At 48.2% G+C, this 22,991-nt stretch overlaps 2 non-coding genes and 1 pseudogene across 2 annotated transcripts, besides 5 other annotated features; 1 reads left to right on the top strand and 2 right to left on the bottom strand.

Moving 5' to 3' along the window:
- On the bottom strand, positions 503-1,330 carry RPL23AP91 (ribosomal protein L23a pseudogene 91; annotated as a pseudogene).
- Positions 18,459-18,508: an enhancer, noted in NCBI's record as "active region_10890". NCBI's record gives its function as "activates an Ori minimal core promoter by ATAC-STARR-seq in GM12878 lymphoblastoid cells {active_cell/tissue: GM12878}" and the evidence as "EXISTENCE:reporter gene assay evidence [ECO:0000049][PMID:35858748]".
- Positions 22,072-22,241: a silencer, noted in NCBI's record as "silent region_7529". NCBI's record gives its function as "represses an Ori minimal core promoter by ATAC-STARR-seq in GM12878 lymphoblastoid cells {active_cell/tissue: GM12878}" and the evidence as "EXISTENCE:reporter gene assay evidence [ECO:0000049][PMID:35858748]".
- Positions 22,104-22,186, top strand: TRL-CAG2-2 (tRNA-Leu (anticodon CAG) 2-2). The gene has a single exon. It is a non-coding gene; the product is annotated as a tRNA-Leu (tRNA).
- Positions 22,392-22,451: an enhancer, noted in NCBI's record as "active region_10889". NCBI's record gives its function as "activates an Ori minimal core promoter by ATAC-STARR-seq in GM12878 lymphoblastoid cells {active_cell/tissue: GM12878}" and the evidence as "EXISTENCE:reporter gene assay evidence [ECO:0000049][PMID:35858748]".
- Positions 22,532-22,741: a silencer, noted in NCBI's record as "silent region_7528". NCBI's record gives its function as "represses an Ori minimal core promoter by ATAC-STARR-seq in GM12878 lymphoblastoid cells {active_cell/tissue: GM12878}" and the evidence as "EXISTENCE:reporter gene assay evidence [ECO:0000049][PMID:35858748]".
- On the bottom strand, positions 22,633-22,715 carry TRL-CAG2-1 (tRNA-Leu (anticodon CAG) 2-1). Its single transcript has one exon. It is a non-coding gene; the product is annotated as a tRNA-Leu (tRNA).
- Positions 22,862-22,991: an enhancer, noted in NCBI's record as "active region_10888". NCBI's record gives its function as "activates an Ori minimal core promoter by ATAC-STARR-seq in GM12878 lymphoblastoid cells {active_cell/tissue: GM12878}" and the evidence as "EXISTENCE:reporter gene assay evidence [ECO:0000049][PMID:35858748]".

The following is a 22,991-nucleotide window of genomic DNA, read 5'->3' as shown; positions in this document are numbered from 1 at the left end:
TCCTCCCACCTCAACCTCCTGAGTAGCTGGGACCACAGACATACACCACCACACTTGGCTAATTTTTAAAATTATTTATAGAAATGAGGTGTCGCTATGTTGCCCAGGCTGGACTTGAACTCTTGGCCTTAAGCAATCTTCCTGCCTCAGTCTCTCAAAGTGCTGGGATTACAGGCAAGAGCCACTGTGCCCAGCCCCAACTCTGTTCTTATTCTTCAGGATTACTTTGGCCATTCCTGGTTTTCTGCTTCTACATATAAATTCTAGAATGAGCTTGCAGTGAAAATCATTCTGAGATTTTACTGGAATTACATTAAGTCTATAGATCAATTTGAAGAAATCAGAAAAATTCATTATAATATAAATCTTCCAATCTATGATTTTGGTATGTTTCTCCATTTATTTAGCTATCTTTAACTTTTTTGGAAAATTACTTTGTAGTTTTCAGTGCAGAGGTCTTGTATGTCTTTCATTGTAATAATTTCTAGTTTTTTTTTGGAGGAAGGCAAAAAGATATATATATTTAGAGTTAGCCAGCCGGACTCAGTTTAGATGATCCCAACTTTGTTGGCAACATCCAAAGCATCGTAATCAGAAGCCAGTCTAACATGTGCCTTCTTCTCTCCGTCAGGCTGAATCAGAGTGATGACCTTGGCCACATCAGTGTCATAGAGCTTCTTCACAGCCTGTTCGATCTGGTGCTTGCTGGCTTTAACATCCACAATGAATTTTTTTTTTTTTTTTTTTTTTTTTTTTTTGAGACGGAGTCTCCTTCTGTCGCCAGACTGGAGTGCAGTGGCACGATCTCAGCTCACTGCAACCTCCACCTCTCCAGGGTTCAAGCGATTCTCCTGCCTCTACCTCCCAAGTAGCTGGGACTACAGGCACATGCCACCACGCCCAGCTAATTTTTGTATTTTTAGTAGCGACGGAGTTTCACCATGTTGGCCAGATGGTCTCAATCTCTTGACCTCGTGATCCGCCCGCCTCAGCCTCCCATAGTGCTGGGATTACAGGCGTGAACCAACGCGCCCAGACGTTGTCTTCTATCTTCTTCATGGCAAACTTAGTAGCCAGTACAAACTTGATGATAACATAGTGGTCAAGCTTGTTTCTCCTGGGGTGCTCTTCTGAGGATATCTGGGCTGCCTCTGGAGTCGCAGCGTCTTGGCCACGGGAAGATGGGTGATGTGTGGATCTTCTTTTTTATGTGGCTGTGGACACCTTTCAGCACTGCCTTCTTGTCCTTCAAAGCCTTCGATTTGGCTTCAGCTTTAGGGGGGCAGGAGCTTCCTTCTTTGCCTTTGGTGCCATCTTGTGAAAAGGGTCTATTTCGAGATTTTTCATCATTTATTCTATCATATAGCATTTTAAGTTTTTAGTTAAAATGTTTCTTTTCTTTTTTTTTTTTTTTTTTTGAGACAAAGTCTCGCTCTTGTCCCCCAGTCTGGAGTGTAATGTCGCGATCTCGGCTCACTGCAACCTCTGCCTCCCAGGTTCAAGCGATTTTCCTGCCTCAGCCTCCCGAGTACCTGGGATTACAGGTGCACACCACCATACCCAGCTAATTTTTTGTATTTTAAGTAGAGCTGGGGTTTCACCATGTTGGCAAGGCTGGTCTCGAACTCCTGACCTCAGGTGATCTGCCCATCTCGGCCTCCCAAAGTGCTGGGATTACAGGCAGGAGCCACCATGTCCTGCCAATTGTTTCATTTTTTAATGCAAATGTCTATATATGTTGCTTATTTATAAAAATATAATTAACTTTTAAATATTAACCTTGGATGCAGCAGCCATTCCAAATTCACTTATTTTTGTTTGTTTTCTTTCTTTTTCAACCAAGATCAACTTCTGCACAGATTCACTTATTGATTCCAGTAGCTTGTCTGTAGACTTACTGGAAATTTCTCTGTACCTAATCATGTCATGTAAATAATGATAGTTTGGAGTTGAGCGTGGTGGCTTGCATTTTGGGAGGCCAAGGCGGGAGGAACTCTTGAGCCCAGTTCAAGATCAGCCTGTAGTCCCAGCTACTTTGAAGGCTGAGGTAGGAGGATCATTTGAGCCCAGAAGTTTGAAGCTGTGGTAAGCCATGACTGCACTACTGCACTCCATCCTGGGTGGCAAAGCAAGACCCCGTCTCTAATAATAATAATAATAATAATAATAATAATAATAATAATGAATTTTGCTTCCCCCCCAAATCCTTATGACTTTTATTTCTTTTCCTTGACTTATTGCACTAGCTTCCACTTCTAGTGCAATGTTAAAGAGAACTGGTGAGAGTGGTCCAAGTCACTTGTAGAGAACATTTAGAACAATTTGTTCTGTATACTATCATATATGTAGGAAAAGAAGGACAGGGGTTCCATGTACATATAGGCTTACAATACTAGAAACCAGTAACCCATCACCAAGGCCACAACCAACTGGACTAGGGGTTATAGCCAGAACCAATAGTAGTCACCCAGACCTCCCAGTGGTCAATGTAATGGGCTGGTTTGGGAACTCAATCAGTAGGATCAATCTGGAATGGAGTGATAACCTGTCTCATCAGATTTGGAGACCCACAGAGCAGAATCACAGTCAGTTTCTCACACCAAGAAGAGGTGCTTAGCTGGGATACAGGAAGGGGAGCTTTCACCACTGTTTGCAAAGGAAGATGGCCCAGAGAAAAGATTGTTTGACTATGTTTTCTGGGCATTTCATGATCTTGCTTTCCTATTGCTTCCTCTAGGGACTTTTCATCAGCATCTCAAAAACTCTCAAATGCATAAATCACCATAAAAACCATTGTTGAAAAAACTGGCAAAAGTCCTTACCTCTGGAGAGGGTAACTAGAGGTCAGGGACAGGGAGGGAGGCTTACATTTCACTGTTATATCATGCCCACGTAAGGTTGATTGAAAAGTAAATTTAGTATTTATGTTATAATACATAAATAAATTAGATATTAAATCATTACGAGGTTGAAAAGACAATCATTGGGAAGGCACTCCTCTGGAAGAATGTGTTAGGGTTGCCAGCCCCTCTAACCCACCCCTGCTGTGCTTCTTTTTTTTTTTTTAACTTTAAGTTCTGGGATACATGTGCAGAATGTGCAGGTTTGTTACATAGGTATACATGTGCCATGGTGGTTTGCTGCCCTTATCAACCTGTCATCTTGGTTTTAAGCCCTGCATGCATTAGGTATTTGTCCTAATGCTATCCCTCCCCTTGCCCCCACCCCCTGACAGGCCCCAGTGGGTAATGTTCCCCTCCCTGTGTCCATGTGTTCTCATTGTTCAATTCCCACTTATGAGTGAGAACATGTGGTGTTTGGTTTTCTGTTCCTGTGTTAGTTTACTGAGAATGATGGCTTCTAGCTTCATCCTTGTTCCTGAAAAGGACATGATCTCATTCTTTTTTATGGTTGCATAGTATTCCATGGTGTATATGTGCCCCATTTTCTTTATCCAGTCTATCAACTGGGAATATACCCAAAGGATTATAAATCATTCTACTATGAGTACACATGCACACGTATGTTTATTGCAGCACTATTCACAATAGCAAAGATTTTTTTGTTTTTTTGAGATAGAGTCTTGCTCTGTCACCCAGGGTGGAGTGCAGTGGCCCGATCTCGGCTCACTGCAATCTCCACCTCCCGGGTTCAAGCGATTCTCCTGCCTCAGCCTCCTGAGTAGCTGGAATTATAGGCACCCACCACCACGCCCAGCAAATTTTTGCATTTCTAATAGAGACAGGGTTTCGCCAGTTGTCTAGGCCAGTCTCAAACTCCTGACCTCAGGTGATCTGCCCACCTCAGCCTCCCAAAGTGCTGAGATTACAGGCGTGAGCCACCACGTCCGGCCCCCGCTGTGCTTCTGACATGGGGAAGGGAATGTCACAGAAGCCAAGACCCCATCCCCCACCCACCCCAGGGAAGGACGTGAGGAAGTGGGAGCCGTGGCTGACCTAAGGAGAATGTAGCAGCAGCCACTACAGAAAAAGATGCAGACCCAGAGAGCAGCTGGGTCACAAAGATGGCAGAGTGCTGGCTGCAGGAGGGACAGAGGACCCCCAAACCAGGGCAGGAGGCTGAGCTGCTCAAAGAGTCCCGAGCGCCACTCTGCCCTCCCCTGCTATTCCCAGCCCAGCTATTCCTGCTATTCTGGGTATTCTGTGTCCCTGCCTGGGAGGCCCATGCAAATTCTTTCTGTGTTACAGATGCGTGTAAATCTGTGACCTCCCTCTCCGGTGGACCTGTCCTTCCAGAGCAGAGGCAAGAGGGCCCCTGCAGGGGGCGGGGGTGTCTCTCTGCTCCATCTGGGGCAGCCCCCCTTCCTCAACTCCCATCTTCCTAGAGAAACCTCCTCCCTCTTGTCCTAACCTCTAGGGTTGAATCCCAATCCCACAGCTGGGAATTTTCCAAAAGCCCCACAAGCCCTTTTTCCCGGATTGCCCTTTCTCCATACCACCCTTCAGGGGTCTGCAACACTGAGTGAGGTTGTGAGAAGGATTTCTTGGAGCCCCAAAATAGCAAAATGGAACTGAGTGCAGAGGTAAGAGCACGGAAGGAGAATCCAGATCTAGTTCTGGACCACGCTGAACCTGAATACAATGTTCGAAATAGCAATTAATAACTATGTGCCTATCTCTGTTTAGGCCTTTTATGTGGATTAATTTATTTAATTATCACAAAAATCTTTTGAGGTAGGTACTATTTTCTCTCCATTTTACAGAGAAGGAAACTGAGGCTGGGTGCAGTGGCTCACGCCTGTAATCCCAGCACTTTGGGAGGCCGAGGCCCGTGGATTGCTTGAGGTCAGGAGTTCAAGACCAGCCTGGTCAACATGGCGAAATGCCATCTCTACAAAATATACAAAAAATTTAGAGAGACATGTTGGCGCGTGCCTGTAGCCTCAGCTACTCGAGAGGCTGAGGCACGAGAATTGCTTGAGCCTGGGAGGTGGAGGTTGCAGTGAGCCGAGACCACGCCATTGCACTCCAACCTGGGCGAGAGTGAGACTCCATCTCAAAAACAAACAAACAAACAAAAAACAGAGAAGGAAACTGAGGCACCAAGAGGTTAGAATGCTTGCCAAGGTGCACAGGTGTAGGTGATAGAGCCAGGATTCAAACTTAACTAGTCTGATTCCAACATCCATGTTCTCAACTCATACATTCCACTGCACCTCACAGTCCCTGGGCAAAGTGCCCACCTCTGAGCCTCAGCTCATGCTGTTCCCTCCTACAGGAAAGTCCTTCCTCCCTTCTCCACCTGGCAAAATGCATCTTTCCAGACCCCCATCTGAGAGCCCTGATATGTCCCCAGCACGTGCACACACACCAGACAGAATTTCATGGTGTCCTCCTCTGGGCCATTGGGCAGCCACTTCCCTCCAGCACAGAGTGGACATGCCATGCAGCCTTTGCCCAGCCAGGGCCTTGCCCCCTGCTGAGCCAGAAGCACTTCCCGGCAGGCCCTGGGCCTGGCCCATCACAGTGTCCTCAGCCTCCAGCACACAGCAGCCTTGGCCAGTGCCGTTCCGCGTTCCAGATAGGACTGGCCTCTGCCTCTAACTTTCTGTGGGACTTTGGGTAAACCACTGCCTCTCTGTGACCTCAGTTTCCCCATATCTAGGGATCCCAGGATTGAGATTTTTAAAAAATTTTTTCTGATTGTTCTTCAGCTGCTGAGAGCTCTATGTCTCCCTGCCAGAGAAATCACCTGGGAACTTTCCTCTCAGACCACGCTGTGGAGAGAAACCAAGGAGCTTCTGGGAGGGCCAGTGGGACTTTCTGGGCTCCCAGCTGGACTTGGACTTTCCTAGAGGAACATCTGAGTCACCTTCCTGTCTGAGGAAGGAGTTTGGCTGCTCTGTTTTGGATGATGAAAGGCCAGGAAAGGGCCTCTGTCCAAACATCCACTCTTCCCACCCAGACTTGATGATGCCCCTCCAGTGCCAATACCCCACTGATAATAATAATCGGAAGTATGATTTATACACTACCTTCCCCCATACTCATTCACAGTGCCCTGCAGTTCCCAAGCCAAGGAGATAGAGCTGTGGGATAGCTAGGACTAGGCTGGGTCAGACCAGAGCTCTGGTGCCAGGGCTGCTGCTCCTTCGCCTCTCCATGCCTCAGTTTCCTCATCTATAAAATGGGACAAGGGCACCTGTTTTCTTAGGTTGCTATGAAGAATACACTTGCAAACTGCACAGTGCCTGGTGCCTAGCTATTGCTCATCACTCTGGAGGCACCAATGGTCTAAGCCAGGTAGGTGCTGGCCAACACCTAACTCCGACCATTATACAGATGAGAAGATCCCCTGAGCAACTTGGGAGCAAACAGAAGGTGTTCTATTCATCTCCATGTCACCAGCATCCAGCACATGATAAATATCCAAAAAGCCTAAGAAACGTTCCACTTCCCACTCACCCCCAGTAGCTGTGTGTCTTTGGGCTATCTGCCTTCCTTCTCTGGGCCCAGCCTTTTTGGGATGCCTAAGCTCACACTTTAATATCTAGGTGCAAGGGAGCAGTGGATTACATTAGGAACTCTGAGTTGGCAGAGCTGCCCTGGTATGATTTCTGCCTTCAACACTAACTGTGTGATGTAAGGGAAGAAGGGAAGTTATTTTACCTCTTTAAGCCTCAGGATTGTGTGTGTGTGTGTGTGTGTGTGTGTGTGTGTGTGTGTGTGTGTGTGGTTTGTTGTTGTTGTTGTTTTTTAGAGATGAGGTCTCACCATGTTGCCCAGGCTGGTCTCGAACTCTTGACTTCAAGTAATCTGCCCATCTTGGCCTCCCAAAGTGCTGGAATTACAGGCATGAGCCAGCCTCAGTTTTCTTATTCATAAAAAAAAAAAAATTCCCCCTACCTCTCAATATTGTTTTGAGACTTCAACACATGAAAAGTACTGGACACAGCCCCGGAACATCGTAAATGCTCAATTAACTAAAGATGATTTAAGGGTGAGAAGAGGAAGTTAGGGGGTTGGTTGAAATGGTTATAAACCATGTTGTGGGAACCCAGAAGAGAAAGCAACAAATTCCAGCTGGGGAGATGTAGAGAGGGGAGGCGACCCACCGGAGGCCACACAGTTATCGTGGCAGAGCTGGAGGGAGTTCCACAGACCAGACCCCTGTTTGGGCTGGAAGGCAGCCATCTCTGAGGGAGCGAGGCACTGGTTTCCTGTTTTCCTTCTGAGAATCCGAGGCACCTAAGACAAACAAACAAATAAATCTTGGCCTAAGTTCCATTTCACTCAGTGAAGGAGCCTTGTAAAAGGATGTGTCTGAGCAGGAAAAGTTTATCCCTACCCATTTCACCTTCAACTTGAAGAAGGAGCCCTGAACCGTGATTCAAGACTGGGTTCTAGACCTCTCTGGGCCTCAGTTTCCCCTTCTGTAAAATGACCAGATTTTATAGGCATTTCTGTGCTCTTGCAAACAACCACCAAGATACATTGTTAAGTGGAGGAGGAAAAAGAACAAGGCCAGTATGCATAGAAGATGACAGTTTAAGGAGAAAGGTGGGGGAAGGTGGGAATGCCTGTATACATCAACTTGTATATGCAGAAAATTTCCTGGAGGGCTACATGAGGAACCAGTACCGCAGGGCTTGCCTCTGGGGAAGGAAGCAGGAGTCAGGGATGGAAGGAAAGTTTTCATCTGTTTATTCTTACTTTGCACCTTTTGAAAGTTAAATTATGCAAATGTAATCCCTGTGGGGGGGATATATATACACACACATATATATACATATATATGTATGCACTGTAAAAAATAGAAAAGTATTGAAATCCAGCACTTTGGTATTTTTAAAAAATTATATAACATTGACTGCAGTTTTTGTTTCCTTTTAATACACATACACTGAGATTCCAAGAAGAAAACCCCCCAAAAGGCAGGATCTCTGGTCAGAGACCTAATGCCTGCAGGAGGAGGAAGTGGGGGCAGAAACAGGGAAAAGAGATACACAAGGTTAGAAAATTCAAACCTTATTATGAAAGGTACAAAAAAGGAAAGTGAAAGCCTTTACCTCCCTCCCCAGAGGCAAGGTAATCAGAGGAAATCTCTGATAACAGCTTTTTGTGATTCATCTGGGACATGGGAGAATTAAAAGTCAATAAGTAAAAGGAAAGAAAAAGAAACTGACATTGTGAAAGCTAAGTTTCCATTTGACTTAATCTCATGTCTGGTAGGAGCTGTTTCTGCAGGTGATTTTGTCCTGTTTGTCCAGGCACTGGGTGGGGTTCCATTCTCCTTGGTCAGGTATACAAGCTGGCAGGCCTCCTGGAAGCAGCATCCCTATCTTCTCAAAGTTAGGCAATGACATTCAGAGCTGGCTCCTGGGGAGGGAGAGGCCATCCAGAGCCTACCCAGCCTCACACCCTATCCCCTGGCAAACAACCTCAAGCCCTGACTGTGGTCCTCTCTCTCCAGAACCACAAGCATCTCCCCAGCTGGGCTGAGAAATGTGTCCAGGGGTTCCAGTTCACCGACACCTTTTTCCAGCTTCTTTTTTATTATAAAAATAACACATGCTCTTGGTAAGAAATTCCAAGAGCACAGAAGAACAGGAGCCCCCTTCTCATTCCCTTTCCTCAGGGTGAACTGAGCCACCAGGGTTCTTGGTGTCCTGGTCAGCCCCAGGAGATCATAAGGGTAATGATGCCCATTTTATAGATGAGGAAACTGAGGCACGGAGAGGGGGAGAAACCATTGAGGCCATGTGCTGAAAAGTGGCAAAGGTGGGATTTGAATATGGCTCTTCTGCCCCCAAGTCTAGAACTTTCCACAAGTCTACCAGCAGTACAGCTCTGATCAGCTCAATCCCAAGTTCATAGTGCTTCTTTGCCCCATCCTTATCACTCCTCATCCCCACCACACAAACATATACACGCATACACACACACACATACATATACACACACATACACACACATGCATACACATGCATACTCACATATACACGCACATGCACACAGACATACACACATATACATATACACACACATACACACATACACACATATATACATATATACACATATACACCCACTTACACACACATACACACACACATACACACAAAACCCCACAGTGACTAACCCAGCTGCATGAAAATGCCTCCACAGACATATATACACTCACCCAGCCCAGTGCCCTCATCCCCATAGACTATTTCTGAACCAACATATACACTTGCACACAATCACACATGTGCAATGTACAAAAACACACTTCAGACACTCACACGTGTTCTCATTTCCAGAGACACAAAGACACACTTCTACACACCCATAGACATAGATGCTGGCACACACCCATCCCCACCAGCCTCCCCTCATACCCTCTGTCAGAGCCCACCCCTCAGAGACGCCACATCCATCTTGTGGCCAAGCCATCACCGCCAAAGTCCTGTCCTCTTCTGCCCGATCAAGTCCTAGTTGTGGTCTTCTAGTTACACTATTGTGCCAGCCAGATGCCACCTGTCCCCCGGCCAAAGCTGGGCCCCTCCCTCAATGCCCTTGCCCTTCTGCCCAAGATTCCAAGGCAGCAGAATTCTTTTTATTTTATGTATTTATTTTTGAGAAAGAGTTTTACTCTGTCGCCTAGGCTGGAGTGCAGTGGCACGATCTCGGCTCACTGCAACCTCCACCTCCGGGGCTCAACTGATCCTCCTGCCTCAGCCTCCCGAGTAACTGGGACTACAGGCATGTGCCACCATGCCCAACTAATCTTTGTATTTTTTGTAGAGACGAGGTTTCACCATGTTGGCCAGGCTGGTCTCAAACTCCTAATCTCAGGTGATCTGCCGGTAAGCTAGCAGAATTTTTTTTTTTTTTTTTTTGAGACGGAGTTTCGCTCTTGTTGCCCAGGCTGGAGTGCAATGGCGTGATCTCGGATCACCACAGCCTCTGCTTCCCAGGTTCAAGCGATTCTCCTGCCTCAGCCTCCTGAGTAGCTGGGATTACAGACATGTGCCACCACGCCCAGCTAATTTTTTGTAATTTTAATAAAGACGGGGTTTCTCCATGTTGGTCAGGCTAATCTTGAACTACTGACCTCAGGTGATCTGCCCACCTCAGCCTCCCAAAGTGCTGGGATTACAGGCGTGAGCCACCGCCCCTCGCCAAGCTAGCAGAATTCTAGGGCTTCCTTTCGTCACCTCTCCCACCCACATGGCACTAATGCCTTGAAGAGATTTGATGAAGAACCTCACAGTTCAACACTCCTGCCTCCTGAGGTGTGCACAAATAGCTTGAAAGGGACCATCTGCTCCTGAGGATCTGCACTCACCCTTGCTCCAGACCCTCTTCATCTTCTCTGAACGTTTCCAAATCCCTTACCTCAGTTTTCCCCCAACAGTTCTCAGAGGATGGGGACCTGAACATTCAGTTGTGGCTCCATTTGACTCACCTGTAAATGTGGTTCCCGAACACTCCAGAGACAACTAGGAACTTCATGAAAACACACAGTACTGCCCCCAGACCCACGTGGGGTCTCTGGGGCTGGCACAGGGTGGCCACTCAATCTGATGGCCAAGAGGTCAATTGAAGAGCTGGGCAGGTGGAGAGAGGAACATCCTTCTCTTCCATAGTCAGACATTAACCAGGAGAGAACTGGATCCCCAAAATGTAATCTTGAGGACTTGAGCACAAGTACTGAGGGCCCTAGTTGGGGTGCTATGAACATACGGGGGAAACACTCTGAATTGGGGATTTATTGGGGGATTTATTCATTTGTTCTTTCAATTAATAAATACTTCCTACAAGGAGGCCAGCCTCAGTGACTGAAATCCCAGCACTTTTGGAGGCCAAGGCAGGAGGATCACTTGAGTCCAGAAATTCGAGACCACCCTGGGCAACATAGTGAGACTCTGTCTCTACAAAAAATACAAAAGTTATCCAGGCTTGGTGGTGCATGCCTAAAGTCCCAGCAAGTCGGGAGGCTGAGGTGGGAGGATCATTTGAGCCTAGAAGGTTGAGGCTGCATTGAGTCATGATCGAGCCACTGCATTCCAACCTGGGTGACAGAGCAAGACCCTGTCTCAAAAACAAAAACAGTTCCTACAGGGAAGCAGGCACCAAGATCTGTGGGGATTGAAGAGTCCCAGCTCACATGAGTGTGGGGTCTGGTGGGGACACACGTAGCCTAAGACTCTCCTCTCTCTCTCTCTCTCTGACACACACACACACACACACACACACACACACACACACACACACACCATGCCAAGGGTTCTGGTGCAGACAGGGGAGCTGACCCAGGCTGGAGGTCAGGAAAGGCTCCCGTGGGAGGGAACCAGAGGAGAGCTGAGGGCGGGTGAAGGTGTTGAGCTCCTTCAGCAACTTGGAAACTTTCTCAGACAACCTGACCTAGAAAAATTTTGCATCAGACTCTCATTTTTATGAGGAACTTGATAAATGAAGAAACTTGCTCTGTATATCTGCTGAAACCTTTGGAGAACAAAGGAGGCATCAGTAATGCTCTTTTTTTAGAATGAAAAGTAATTTTCATGGCTCTTTTTCCTTTCACGTTGCAAAAGCAGTGCATTTTGGGAAACATGACTCCCCCAGCCCCCACCCTCCCCTGCCCTGCCCACCGTGTCTCTGGCTGGGGAACAGGGCACGCGACTTGCACCACCCTGTCATGACCTCCTGGGACTCCAAGAGTCCACCTGTTGCCTGTCCAGGCACCTCCCCTGGGCAGACCCACCTGTGCCCCTGCTGGCACATCCTCTGCTGAGGTCCCCAGGACAAAGGACATAGGTTGGTCTTCTAGGATCTGAGTCCCAGCAACCATAGAGAAAGACTGCAACAAACAGGCCTGGAGAAAATAGCATTAGGCATATCAAAATCCAGAGGGAAATGGGGAGTTATTTGAAGATAAAGAATTTCCAGAGGAAATGTCAAAACTCTGAGTGGCTTCACGCAGGTGGAAAAGGGCTTCAGCTGTGGGTTCCTTCCCCTCCCCAGGGTTGTGGTCCCCATTTCCCTCCTTGGAAGCCCCACTTGGATGGGTTTGCGTCCCGGATATGGCCTGCAACACTGGGTCCAAGCAGTTTAGGGGCTAGCTCTGACTCTGGAAGGCTGGAGAAATGGCTGCACCAGCTCTGGGCTCTCACGATGCACACAGGGCCAGGAGCAGTGGCTCATGCTTGTAATCTCAACACTTTGGGAAGCCAAGGCAGGAGGATTGCTTGAGGCCAGGAGTTTAAGACCAGCCTGGGCAACGTAGACCTTGTCTCTACAAAAAAAAAAAAAAAATTTTGTTGTTGTTGTTTCAATTAGCGGGACATGGTGGCCAAACACCTGTAGCCCCAGCTTACTCAGGAAGCTGAGGCAGCAGGATCTTTTGAGCCCAGGAGTTTGAGGCTGCAGCAAGCCAAGATTGCACCATTGCACTCCAGCCTGGGTGACAGAGCAAGGCCTTTCTCTAAAATATAAATAAGGCCAGGCCTGGTGGCTCATGCCTGTCTTGCCAGCACTTTGGGAGGCTGAGGCGGGTGGATCACTTGAGGCCAGGAGTTCGAGACGAGCCTGGCCAACATGGTGAAACGCCATCTCTACTAAAAATACAAAAATTAGCCGGGCGTGGTAGTGTGCGCTTGTAATCCCAGCTACTTCGGAAGCAGAGACAGGAGAATCTCTTGAACCCAGGAAGCAGAGACTGCAGCGAGCTGAGATCATGCCACTGCACTCCAGTCTGGGCAACAGAGCGAGGCTCCATCTTAAAAATAAATAAATAAAATAAAAATAAATAATGATTTTAAAATGATGCCCATAGAAAATGTGTAGTGATTGAAAGGAAAATGGAATATTTGTCCCTCTTTATTGCACTTTCCCCAGGATCCCTGGCTTTCCTGGAGAAATTGATGCCCTATCTCAACTGGACTCCATACCATCCTTGGTTCTCCTGAGACCCATCTTCTCTCAGTCCCACCCCTAGGCCTTTGCTCATGATGGGCTCCATGGAATGCCTTCCCCCTCCTCTCAGCCCATATAGGTCAGACCGGTCCTTCTCTGCCCACCTTCTCCAGCACACCTCCTCCTCTTTGGCATCCCTGGAGTTCTTTCTCTTCCACTAAGTCTGCATCATTTAATCAGGCAGGATCTGATCTCTTGTTTCCTGATGTTTTGCAGAGGAGCCATCTAAGCTAGCACTGCCCAATAGAAATATGACACAAGCCACACAGGAAATTCAATTTCTTTTTCTTATTCTTTTTCCGTTTTTTTTTTTTTTTTTTTAAACAGAGTCTCGCTGTGTCGCCAAGACTACAGTGCAATGGCACAATCTCAGCTCACTGCAACCTCCGCCTCCCAGGTTCAAGCGATTCTCCTGTCTCAGCCTCCTGAGTAACTGGGAATAAAGGCGTGTGCCACCACACCCATCTACTTTTTTTGTATTTTTGGTAGAGATGGGGTTTCACCATGTTGGCCAGGCTAGTCTTGAACTCCTGACCTCAAGTGATCCATCTGCCTCAGCCTCCCAAAGTGCTGGGGTTACAGGCATGAGCCACCGCACCCAGCCAGAAATTAAATTTTTCTAGTAGCAGCATTGAAAAAAGTAAATAGAAACAGTGGAAATTAATTTTAATAATATATTTTTATTTGACCCAACATGGCCAAAGTATAATTACATTGAAAATTAATAATAAAACAGTTTACATTTTTTTCATACTGTCTTTGAAACCTACTTTGTATTTTACACTCATGATCCCTCTGAATTCAGACTGGCCACATTTCTTTTTTTATTTTATTTTATATTATATTATTTACTTTTTTTTTTTTTTGAGATGGAGTCTCACTCTATTGTCCAGGCTGGAGTCCAGTGGCATGATCTAAGCTTACTGCAACTTCTGCCTCCCGGATTCAAGCAATTCTCCTGCCTCACCCTCCTGAGTAGCTGGGATTACAGGTGTACACCACCATGCCCAGCTAATTTTTGTATTTTTAGTGGAGATGGGGTTTTGCCATGTTGGCCAAGATGGTCTCGAACTCCTGACCTCAAGTGATCTGCCTGCCTCGGCCTCCCAAAGTGCTAGGATTACAGGCGTGAGCCACTACACCTGGCCTGGACTGGCCACATTTCAAATGCTCAAGAGCCAGTGAGTGACTACTGTGTGGGAGGGTACAGGTCCAGGCTGTATTTTTCTTTGGGTTACATGTGACAGAGGTTCACATTAAACTGGCATAAGTGAAAAAGGGCATTGGCTCATGAAACTGACAAGACCAAAAGGGATAAATTGAGGGACAGCTAGCTCCAGGCTTTCCAATGTCGTCAATGTCGTCAGAGAGCTGACATTGTATATTTTCCAGCTTTCCTTCTCAAGTAGGTTCTGGATGGCATAGCAAAGACAGCCACCACCAGCTCAGCCACCTGACCCCGCACCCAGCTTCTCTATTCCAAGTGTTCCCCCAGGCCAGACTCCCACTGGACCAACTGGAATTCTGCACTCATTTCTGAACCAATCAGTGTTGTGGCAAGATGGGTGGAATGGCTGACTAGCAGATGTGAGTCGTCTGACCATTCCCAGCATGAGAGGAGAGGAGAGTCAGCCTCACCTTTCCTGATGGGACTGACAGTGGCCACGGAGGGGTTTCCCAAAGGAGAATCAGGAGGTTTGGTACCCAAAGACTAAGGGGGCCACACAGGATGGGGAGGGAGAGGGATGTGAGGTGAGAGTGAAAAGTGACCAGAATGCAGGTTGGATTGAATAAAAAGAGGCTCCCAAGAGTACTGGAGTATGAGATTGAACAGGAAAGACATGATCTTAGTCTGGCGGAAATGTTCAAAAGATGTGATGGCTAGTAGGGCACATGCCAGTGAGAGCAGATAATAGCCTTAGTGCTGGGTGCCCAGGAGTTTTGGGGGTTGTGGGGAATCCCGGAGAGGGGAAGGGCCAGGATGGTCGTGGGGACTATGGGAGGCTCATTGCAGCCCCATTTACCAAGGAGCACAGCAGTATTTCCACCTGTTGCTACTGATATGGCCATAGGAAGCACATCAGGAGACCATCCAGAGGCCTCGACCTCAGACACTGCATCCCATACCCCACACTAAGGATGCAGCCCACCCCGAGAGAAAACTCTGCCCTGGTGCAGCTCTGAGCAGAACACAGGAACCTTTTAGCCCAGAAAGACAGAGCAGATGGACCTTCCCGAGGGTCTGGAGGTCCCCAAGCCCAGGCAGGCAAAAGGGTTGTTATCCCAATGGGGAGGGCTAGGCACGGGACTCAGAGATGAAGACTCCTGGGGAAGGCAAGGGTCATGAATGGCCTTCCCAGGGGGGAACCCAGGCTTCCTGAGCTCCACTAGAGAGGCACAAAAAGCTGACTTGAAGAGCCCAGAGAATTGACTCAGTCGTCTGTCCGTCCGTCCATCCATCCATCCATGCATCCCTTTGTCCGTTCACCCACTCATGTACTATTTATTTACCAAGCTCCTGCTATGTGACAGGAATGCCCTACCTGCCAGGAATACCCTGGTGAACTAGATGGCCAAGGTCCCTGCCTTCGCAGAGCCCAGAGCCTAGTCAGGGAGAAACACGATCAACAGATAAGCCAGCCAATGAACACGGTGACTTCGGATCTCAAATAGGGTGGCCAGATAGCAAATGAGTGGGAGGAGAGGTGGGGGCTGCTTTAGCCACGCGCTGAGGAAGAGTCATTTGAAGAAGATGGCTCTAGACAGAGGAAACGGCCAGTTTCATAGACCCTGCAGAGGGAGTACGTTTTGTATTGGAAAACCAGATAAATGGAGGTGGGAGATGAAGGTGGGGGAAGAGGTCGGAAAGCTGGTCACGGCTGACTCAGGTGAGGCAGTCAGGATGCACTGTGGTTGTGGGGAGGGCAGGCTAGAGATTCTCTCCACAAAGTCAGATTGGCAGGTCAAACTGGCCCCATAGTATTCACCAGGCACAAGAACTGTCATATTAGGCTGGGCACAGTGGCTCATGCCTATAATCTCAGCATTTTGGGAGGCTGAGGTGGGAGGTGTGCTTGAGGCCAGGAGTTCAAGACCACCCTAGGCAATATATTGAGACCCCATCTCTACAGAAATGTTTTTTTGCAAAAATTAGCCAGGCGTGGTGGCTTGTGCCTGTAGTGCTAGCTACTCGGGAGGCTGAGGTGGAAGGATCACTTGAGCCCAGGCAGTCGAGGCTGGAGTTAGTTGTGATTGCACCACTACACTCCAGCCTGGGTGACAGAGTAAGATCTTGTCTCAAAAAAAATAAAATAAAATAAAAAAGTCACATTGTTTTATTTTGCTGGGCTAACACATAAAGCATTTACTCTGCTCCAGGCACTCTAAGTGCTCAGCATGTATTAACTTATTTGATCTTCTCAAAAATCCTCTAAGATAGATATTAGTACTAAGCCCATTTTACAGATGGCGAAACTGGGGAACTGAGAGGCTAAGTAACTCCCCCAAGGTCACAGAGCTAGCAAATGGCAGAAGCAGGATTTGAACTCAGGTGGTCCCAGAGTCCATGCACTCAGCCACGAGGGCTCAAATTAAAATTGGCCAGCCAGGCATGGTGGCTCACACCTGTAATCCCAGCACTTTGGGAGGCCGAGGCAGGTGGATCGCCTGAGGTCAGGAGTTCAAGACCAGCCTGGCCAACATGGTGAAACCCCATCTCTACTAAAAATACAAAAAAAAAAAAAATTAGCTGGGGGTAGTGGTGGGCGCCTGTAATCCCATCTACTCAGGAGGCTGAGGCAGGAGAATCACTTGAACTGGGAAATGGAGGTTGCAGTGAGCCGAGATCACACCATTGCACTTCAGCCTGGGCAACAAGAGCGAAACTCCATTTCAAAAAAAATTGGCCCTCTACTCCCTGCCTATCAGGGTGGTAAGCTGTCGTCTCAGCCATTCCTGGGGTTCTCCTTCTAGGGTGGCCAAAGGCTTAGGGGGCATGGGCAGAAGCAGTCCAGAGAACTTGGAAGTGAGCTCCTGGCCTTTGGTCTATTCTGGTCGTCACTGAAATGCTCACTGTCCACGTGATCCACTCATAGCCAAGAAATTGAGCCGCCTGACTCCCTCTATGCCAAGGGTGGACCTTGGGGTCTTTGGCTCCAGCTCCTGAGGGACCAAATTTTCCCTACCCCATCCTGTTAGACATCTTTGCCTGCCTCATCCACTTCACCTCCAGATTCCCCCATTCCCCTGGGGCTGGCCTGGCTTCTCCCCTCAGTGGTCAAGATGTCCAAACAAGGACTTTAACAGGCATTTGCTCCTGGCACCCTGTGGCTTCTGCCCTCCACCCTCAGCCAAGAAAACCAGAGCCTAAATAACAAAAGCTTGGCCATGCTACTTGGACTGCCTTACTGGGAAAATCCTACCCTTTCTTTTAAATCTCCTTTAATAATGAAAACAAACAGGACTAAAAACAGCATCTCAAAGTCCATCCTGCCATGTGAATTGGCAAGCCCTCGTGGCTTTTTTTTTTTTTTTCTTTTTGAGATGGAGTCTCGCTCTGTCGCGCCCAGGCTGGAGTGCAGTGGCACGATCTCGGCTCACTGCAACCTCTGCCTCCTGGGTTCAAGCAACTTTCCTGCCTCAGCCTTCCGAGTAGCTGGGATCACAGGCGCCTGCCACCATGACTGGCTAATTTTTTGTATTTTTAGTAGAGATGGGGTTTCACCATGTTGGTAAGGTTGGTCTCGAACTCCTGACCTCAGGTGATCCGCCCGCCTCGGCCTCCCAAAGTGCCAGGATTACAGGTGTGAGCCACCGCGCCCGGCCTCATGGCCTTTATTAAGGAGACAATGTAAAGAAAGTGCTTGGCACAATGCTAGGCACACAGCATTCAAGAAGGGGTTTTGTTTTGTTTTGTTTTGTTTTGTTTTGTTTTTGAGACAGCATCTCACTCTGTTGCCCGGGCTGGAGTGAGGTGGCATGATCACGGCTCACTGCAGCCTCGACCTCCTGGGCTCAAGCGATCCTCCCACCCCGGCCTCTCAAAGTGTTAGGATTACAGGTGTGAGCCACCACACCTGGCCTCAAGGAGTTTTGAGCCAGACAAATCAAGTTCCATTTATCAGCTGTGTGACTCTGGGTAATTCATGTGGTCTCTCTGAGCCTCACTTTCCTGTAAAATGGGGGTAATGATGACCTGTGTTGTGGTGCTGTGCTGAACATTAAGTGAGGTAATGGATGGAAAGGAAACATTCACTAATACTCAGCTTCTTGCCACACTTGTCCCTGGGAGGGCTGGTGATGTGTGCTGAAGTCCCAGGAATGCTAGGAATTACCCCTTTCAGGCACCTTGGCTGGACAAACACTAGGTCCTCATTTGGCCATCTGACTTCATCTGTGCAAAGTAGGGCAAAGTACAGGAAGAGCCACGTCGGGGCTTCCCCAGCTGCTTGTGGGCTTTTCAAGCTCCACCCAGGGGACTTTTTTTTCCCCAAGCTGGACAAATGTCCGGAGCAGGGAATGGGTGAGGCCTGTCCCACAGGGCTCATTGTTGGCGTCTAGGCTGCTGATAAGGTGGAAACAGGACATAAACAGAAATGGTGGCCTTCTCCCTTCCCAATTTTGGTCTCAGGGACCTAGGGGTACAAGGCTTCCTCCAGGCCAGGAGGGTGTCACATGAAAGGTGTCGAGGGGGGACACCTGATCATCCACCCAAACCCAAGAGACAGAGCTGTGTGGGAACCTGGTGCTGAGCCCCATCAAGGGAGCACTTTCTCCCAGGCCGGCCAGGAGGGCAGCAGGCAGGGCGGGGCTGGTGTGGGCTCCAGCTCTGGCGCTACCTCTGTTCCCTTCTCTCTAAAATGATGTGCACTCAGAAAGGTTGGTGATGCAAGAAATGAAGGGAGGGTCCCAGAGGTGGAGAGTGCAGGGCTTCTGCCCCAAAGAGGACCTTGGGCAAGTCACTCAGCCCACCTGAGCCTTACCTCCCTGGTCTGCAAAATGGGGTGAAAGTGGGAAGCTAGCAGCCCCTGCTTCAAAGCCCTTGCCTTCAAGGGAAACCAAGCATCTAGTAACCTGGCTCCCCTATGGCCTTCGTGACCTCCTATTGCATCCCTACATCCTCTCTCTCCACCCTGACACCCCACACACACACCAGCCAGCCAGCAGGGCTTGTGTGTTTTACCCCAAAACACATCCTGAATCTTGAATTCTACCACCTTTTGCAATCTCCACTTCCCTGGTCCAGCCATCATCATCTCTTACCCTCCCTGCCCTGGCCTTCCCCCTGGACTTCCAATTCTTCCCTTGGCCTGCCGTCCATCCTCCACACAGCAGCCAAAGGGATAGTTTTTGAAGGGCCCTCAGGACCATGCCACTCCCCTGCTTAAAACACTCCAGGCTGGGCACAGTGGCTCACACCTATCATCTCAGCATTTTGGGAGACCAAGGCCGGAGGATCTCTTGAGCTCAGGAGTTCGAGAACAGCCTGGGCAAAGTGTCAAGATCCTGTCTCTACAAAAAGTATAAAAATTAGCCAAGTGTGGTGGTGCACACCTGTAGTCCCAAATACTTGGGAGGCTGAGGCAGGGATTGCTTGAGACCAGGAGATTGTCTGCAGTAAGCCAAGATTGTGCCACTGGACTCCAACCTGGGCCACAGGGCTGGACCCTGTGTCAAAACAACAACAACAACAAACAAAAACACAGCAGTTACTCCATCACAGAAGAAAATCCAAACTCCTTTCCCTGGCACTCCAGCCCTGTGTGATATGGCCTGAACCTTCCCATCACCTTACCCCTGCCACACTGGCCTTGCTGTCCCTCCAACAGACTATATTTCTCTCTGCCTCAGAGCCTTTGCACTGGCTATGTCTTTTATCTGAAATGCTGCCACCTGCAGCTTTGATCTTGCTTGTGTTTCTCCTTTTGAACTCAGTGTCAGCTCCTCACAGAGGCCCTCCCTAACCACCCTGCCTAGGAGAGCCCCAATCACTCTTGATCACTGTTAAAAGGGTATTTTTTTTTTTTTGAGATGGAGTCTCACTCTGTTACCCAGGCTGGAGTGCAATGGTGTGATCTCAGCTCACTGCAACCTCTGCCTCTCGGGTTCAAGCAATTCTCCTTCCTCAGCCTCCTTAGTAGCTGGGATTACAGGCAAGTGCCATGACGCCTGGCTAATTTTTGTATTTTTAGTAGAGACGGGGTTTCACCATGTTGTCGAGGCTGGTCTTGAACTTCTGACCTTGTGATCTGCCCACCTCAGCCTCCCAAAGTGCTGGGATTACAGGCATGAGTCACCTCGCCTGGCCAAAAGGATAATTTTTAAGATAAAATCATAATTCTCATATAAATATAAAATGAACACGTCAAAGATTTTATTTTAGTCATTAATTAATGGGAGGACCTGTTCAATGTTATAGCCAATTCAAAAGAGAATTCAAAGACACACATATATTGGCAATCAGGAATGCTGAAATGAATTTATAAGCAGATTGCAAAATTGGTCAATATCCACAGGGCAATGATCAATTGCATTCTACCCTAACAAAATTCACCTGTATTTCTGTGGACAAGAATTATTTGGACATAAAAGTAATGAAAGGTGCAAGCCCTTATAGAATCAGATCCAGCTATCTTTTTTGCCTGTTTTAAAGTCTTTCATGAGTTTCTTGATGCATCCTCTACCCAGCATTTAACAACACCTGGATGTATTTGTCCACCTGTTTCTTATCCTTCTCCCTTCGCTCCATGCCTGAATGTATCTTGAGAGTGGAAATTCTGTTTTGTTCACAGCATCTAGAAGAGTGGCACATAGCAAGTGCTTAATAAATGTTTGTTGACTTTCTTTCCAGCTTCCAGGGCAATTTGTATTTTAGAAGAGGACACAAAAGAGTTTAGTGCTAAACCTAAAGGAAAGAATTCTGGCAGTCAATGAGGAGAGGACATTTGGGACAGGGAAAGAGGAGGATTTCATTGTCTTTCAGATAACCAGGACCTCTGCCCACCCCCATGGGGCTGCATCCCAAGCTCCAAGCATCTCAAGGGAATCTAATCCAAGGGTGGTAAGTGCTGCTGTTCTCTGGCCGAGGCCGCTCTGTGATACCATCTCAGACAAGTCCGAGGGCACTAAGAGGTTAATGTGACCCCACTGCTCACACCTTCTAGGCCTGACCCCTGGACTCCAAAGTTGGCTCAGAGATGTTCGAGGGTCTTGGACCCTCTCTTCTAGTGCCTGTGTACAGAGAGGGGCAGCAGCTGCCATTGTAGGAATATGAGTCATTAATGAGGGAATTCATTAATTAATGTGTAATTGTTACACACCAGGTCAGCGGCCCAGCCCCCTGAGATCCTAGAAATCCTTCTGGAGAAGGGCACCCTCTCGGTACCGAGGTCTTCTGGTCCCTGGAAACAGCCTGTGCGCGGCGTGCGTAAGCCTAGAGGGGGTGGAAGGGAAGAGAGGAAGATGCCGCGGGGGCCAGGAAAAGAGAGATGAGTCACGAAATGAGGGGATGCAGGAAGGAGGAAGCGAGGGAAGAATGAATCCATGGGATCTTCCCTGCGTACCTACTGTGTGCCGGGTACGGTTTGGGCACTGGGGACATAGGAATAGGGCGGGTCTGGCTGTGCAGCTGCAGGCCTCGTTCTATCCCGGAGCCTGAGTAAATGAATTATAACACATATACAAATGTGAAGCTGCAGCTGGGGCGAGTATTCGGAAGGAGAGCGCGGTAAGAGTGCCAGGCGGCCTTGCAATACCTGGGCTTTACCTAGATTGGGCGCCAGCCCACGGAAATGTCTGCGAATCAGTGCAGGTATACGGACTTGATTGCATTGTGCACAAGGGAAATGCAAGGTTGCTTGCAGATTTCAGGAATCAAAGCTGACATGATAGTACATGTATGAATGCAGAATGAATACAGGCTGGAGGCACGAATGCATGTGTATTGAAGTAACAGTCTTCGGTCTCGGCCTTCTCTAGTAGGCCTTGCGCACCCTCTGGCGTCGCCTAGGTGCATCGCGCTGACCTTCCTTGTCCCATCTCTCCACGCCCATTGGAGCAAGTGAGTGTATCTCGCTCCACCCAACGCCGGGCGGACAACTAGGAGTGGGTCTTCGCTGCCCACTACGCATGCGCATATTGCAGAACTTGTGAAGAGGCTTTATGCGCCACACACTGCAAGCAGTCAGGATGGCCGAGCGGTCTAAGGCGCTGCGTTCAGGTCGCAGTCTCCCCTGGAGGCGTGGGTTCGAATCCCACTTCTGACAGAGCTCAATTACTTTTCCTCATCAACACCGCAGATCAGTGAGGTTATGATGTCTTGTGTGTATGTGTTCTGTGTATATGTTCTTATAATCTTTTTTTATTCTTTTACAGATCAATGAGGTTATGATGTCTTGTGCGTATATGTTCGCATAATCTTAATTGTTTTACAAAACGAGTATTTTCTTATTAACGAGCATTTTCTTTTTTAAAAAAGAATCTCGCTCTGTCGCCTAAGCTGGAGTGTGGTGGCGACATCCTCCCGCCTCAACCTCCTCCGAAGTTGGGAGTTCAGAATCACACGACCACGTCCTGTCAGACTTTTTCTTCCCCACAGACATTCATTTAGACTTTGGATTGTGTGTAAAACGTACGGTCCTCTGTGTTTGAGGGCCTCTCTTGGTGTGCGGTCGTCGAAGATTTCTCTTCTGAAATACCGGAAAAGAGCGCTTGTCAGAAGTGGGATTCGAACCCACGCCTCCAGGGGAGACTGCGACCTGAACGCAGCGCCTTAGACCGCTCGGCCATCCTGACTTCCTAGGAGAGACTATTTTGGGGTCTGATGTAGTTCCTCTCATGCTTCAACGACGCTCGGGACTCAGAACCCAGAGGCGGTGTCCCGGGCAGTTCCGAGTCCGGCCTGCAGCTTAGGTTATCCACAACCAAACCCATCCGGTGCAGCGAGACTCACTGCTGTGGTCAAACTGGCGCTTTCAACTGAATACACAGATAATTTAAATGGAAAATCAGTTTCCCTTACCATCAACAGAAATAAACACAATGAAAACGAAATAACGTTGCTAAATTCTA

This window comes from Homo sapiens, chromosome 16 (genome assembly GCF_000001405.40).
Source record: "Homo sapiens chromosome 16, GRCh38.p14 Primary Assembly".
Lineage (NCBI taxonomy): Eukaryota > Metazoa > Chordata > Mammalia > Primates > Hominidae > Homo > Homo sapiens.
This window is presented reverse-complemented; position numbering and strand designations above follow the sequence as displayed.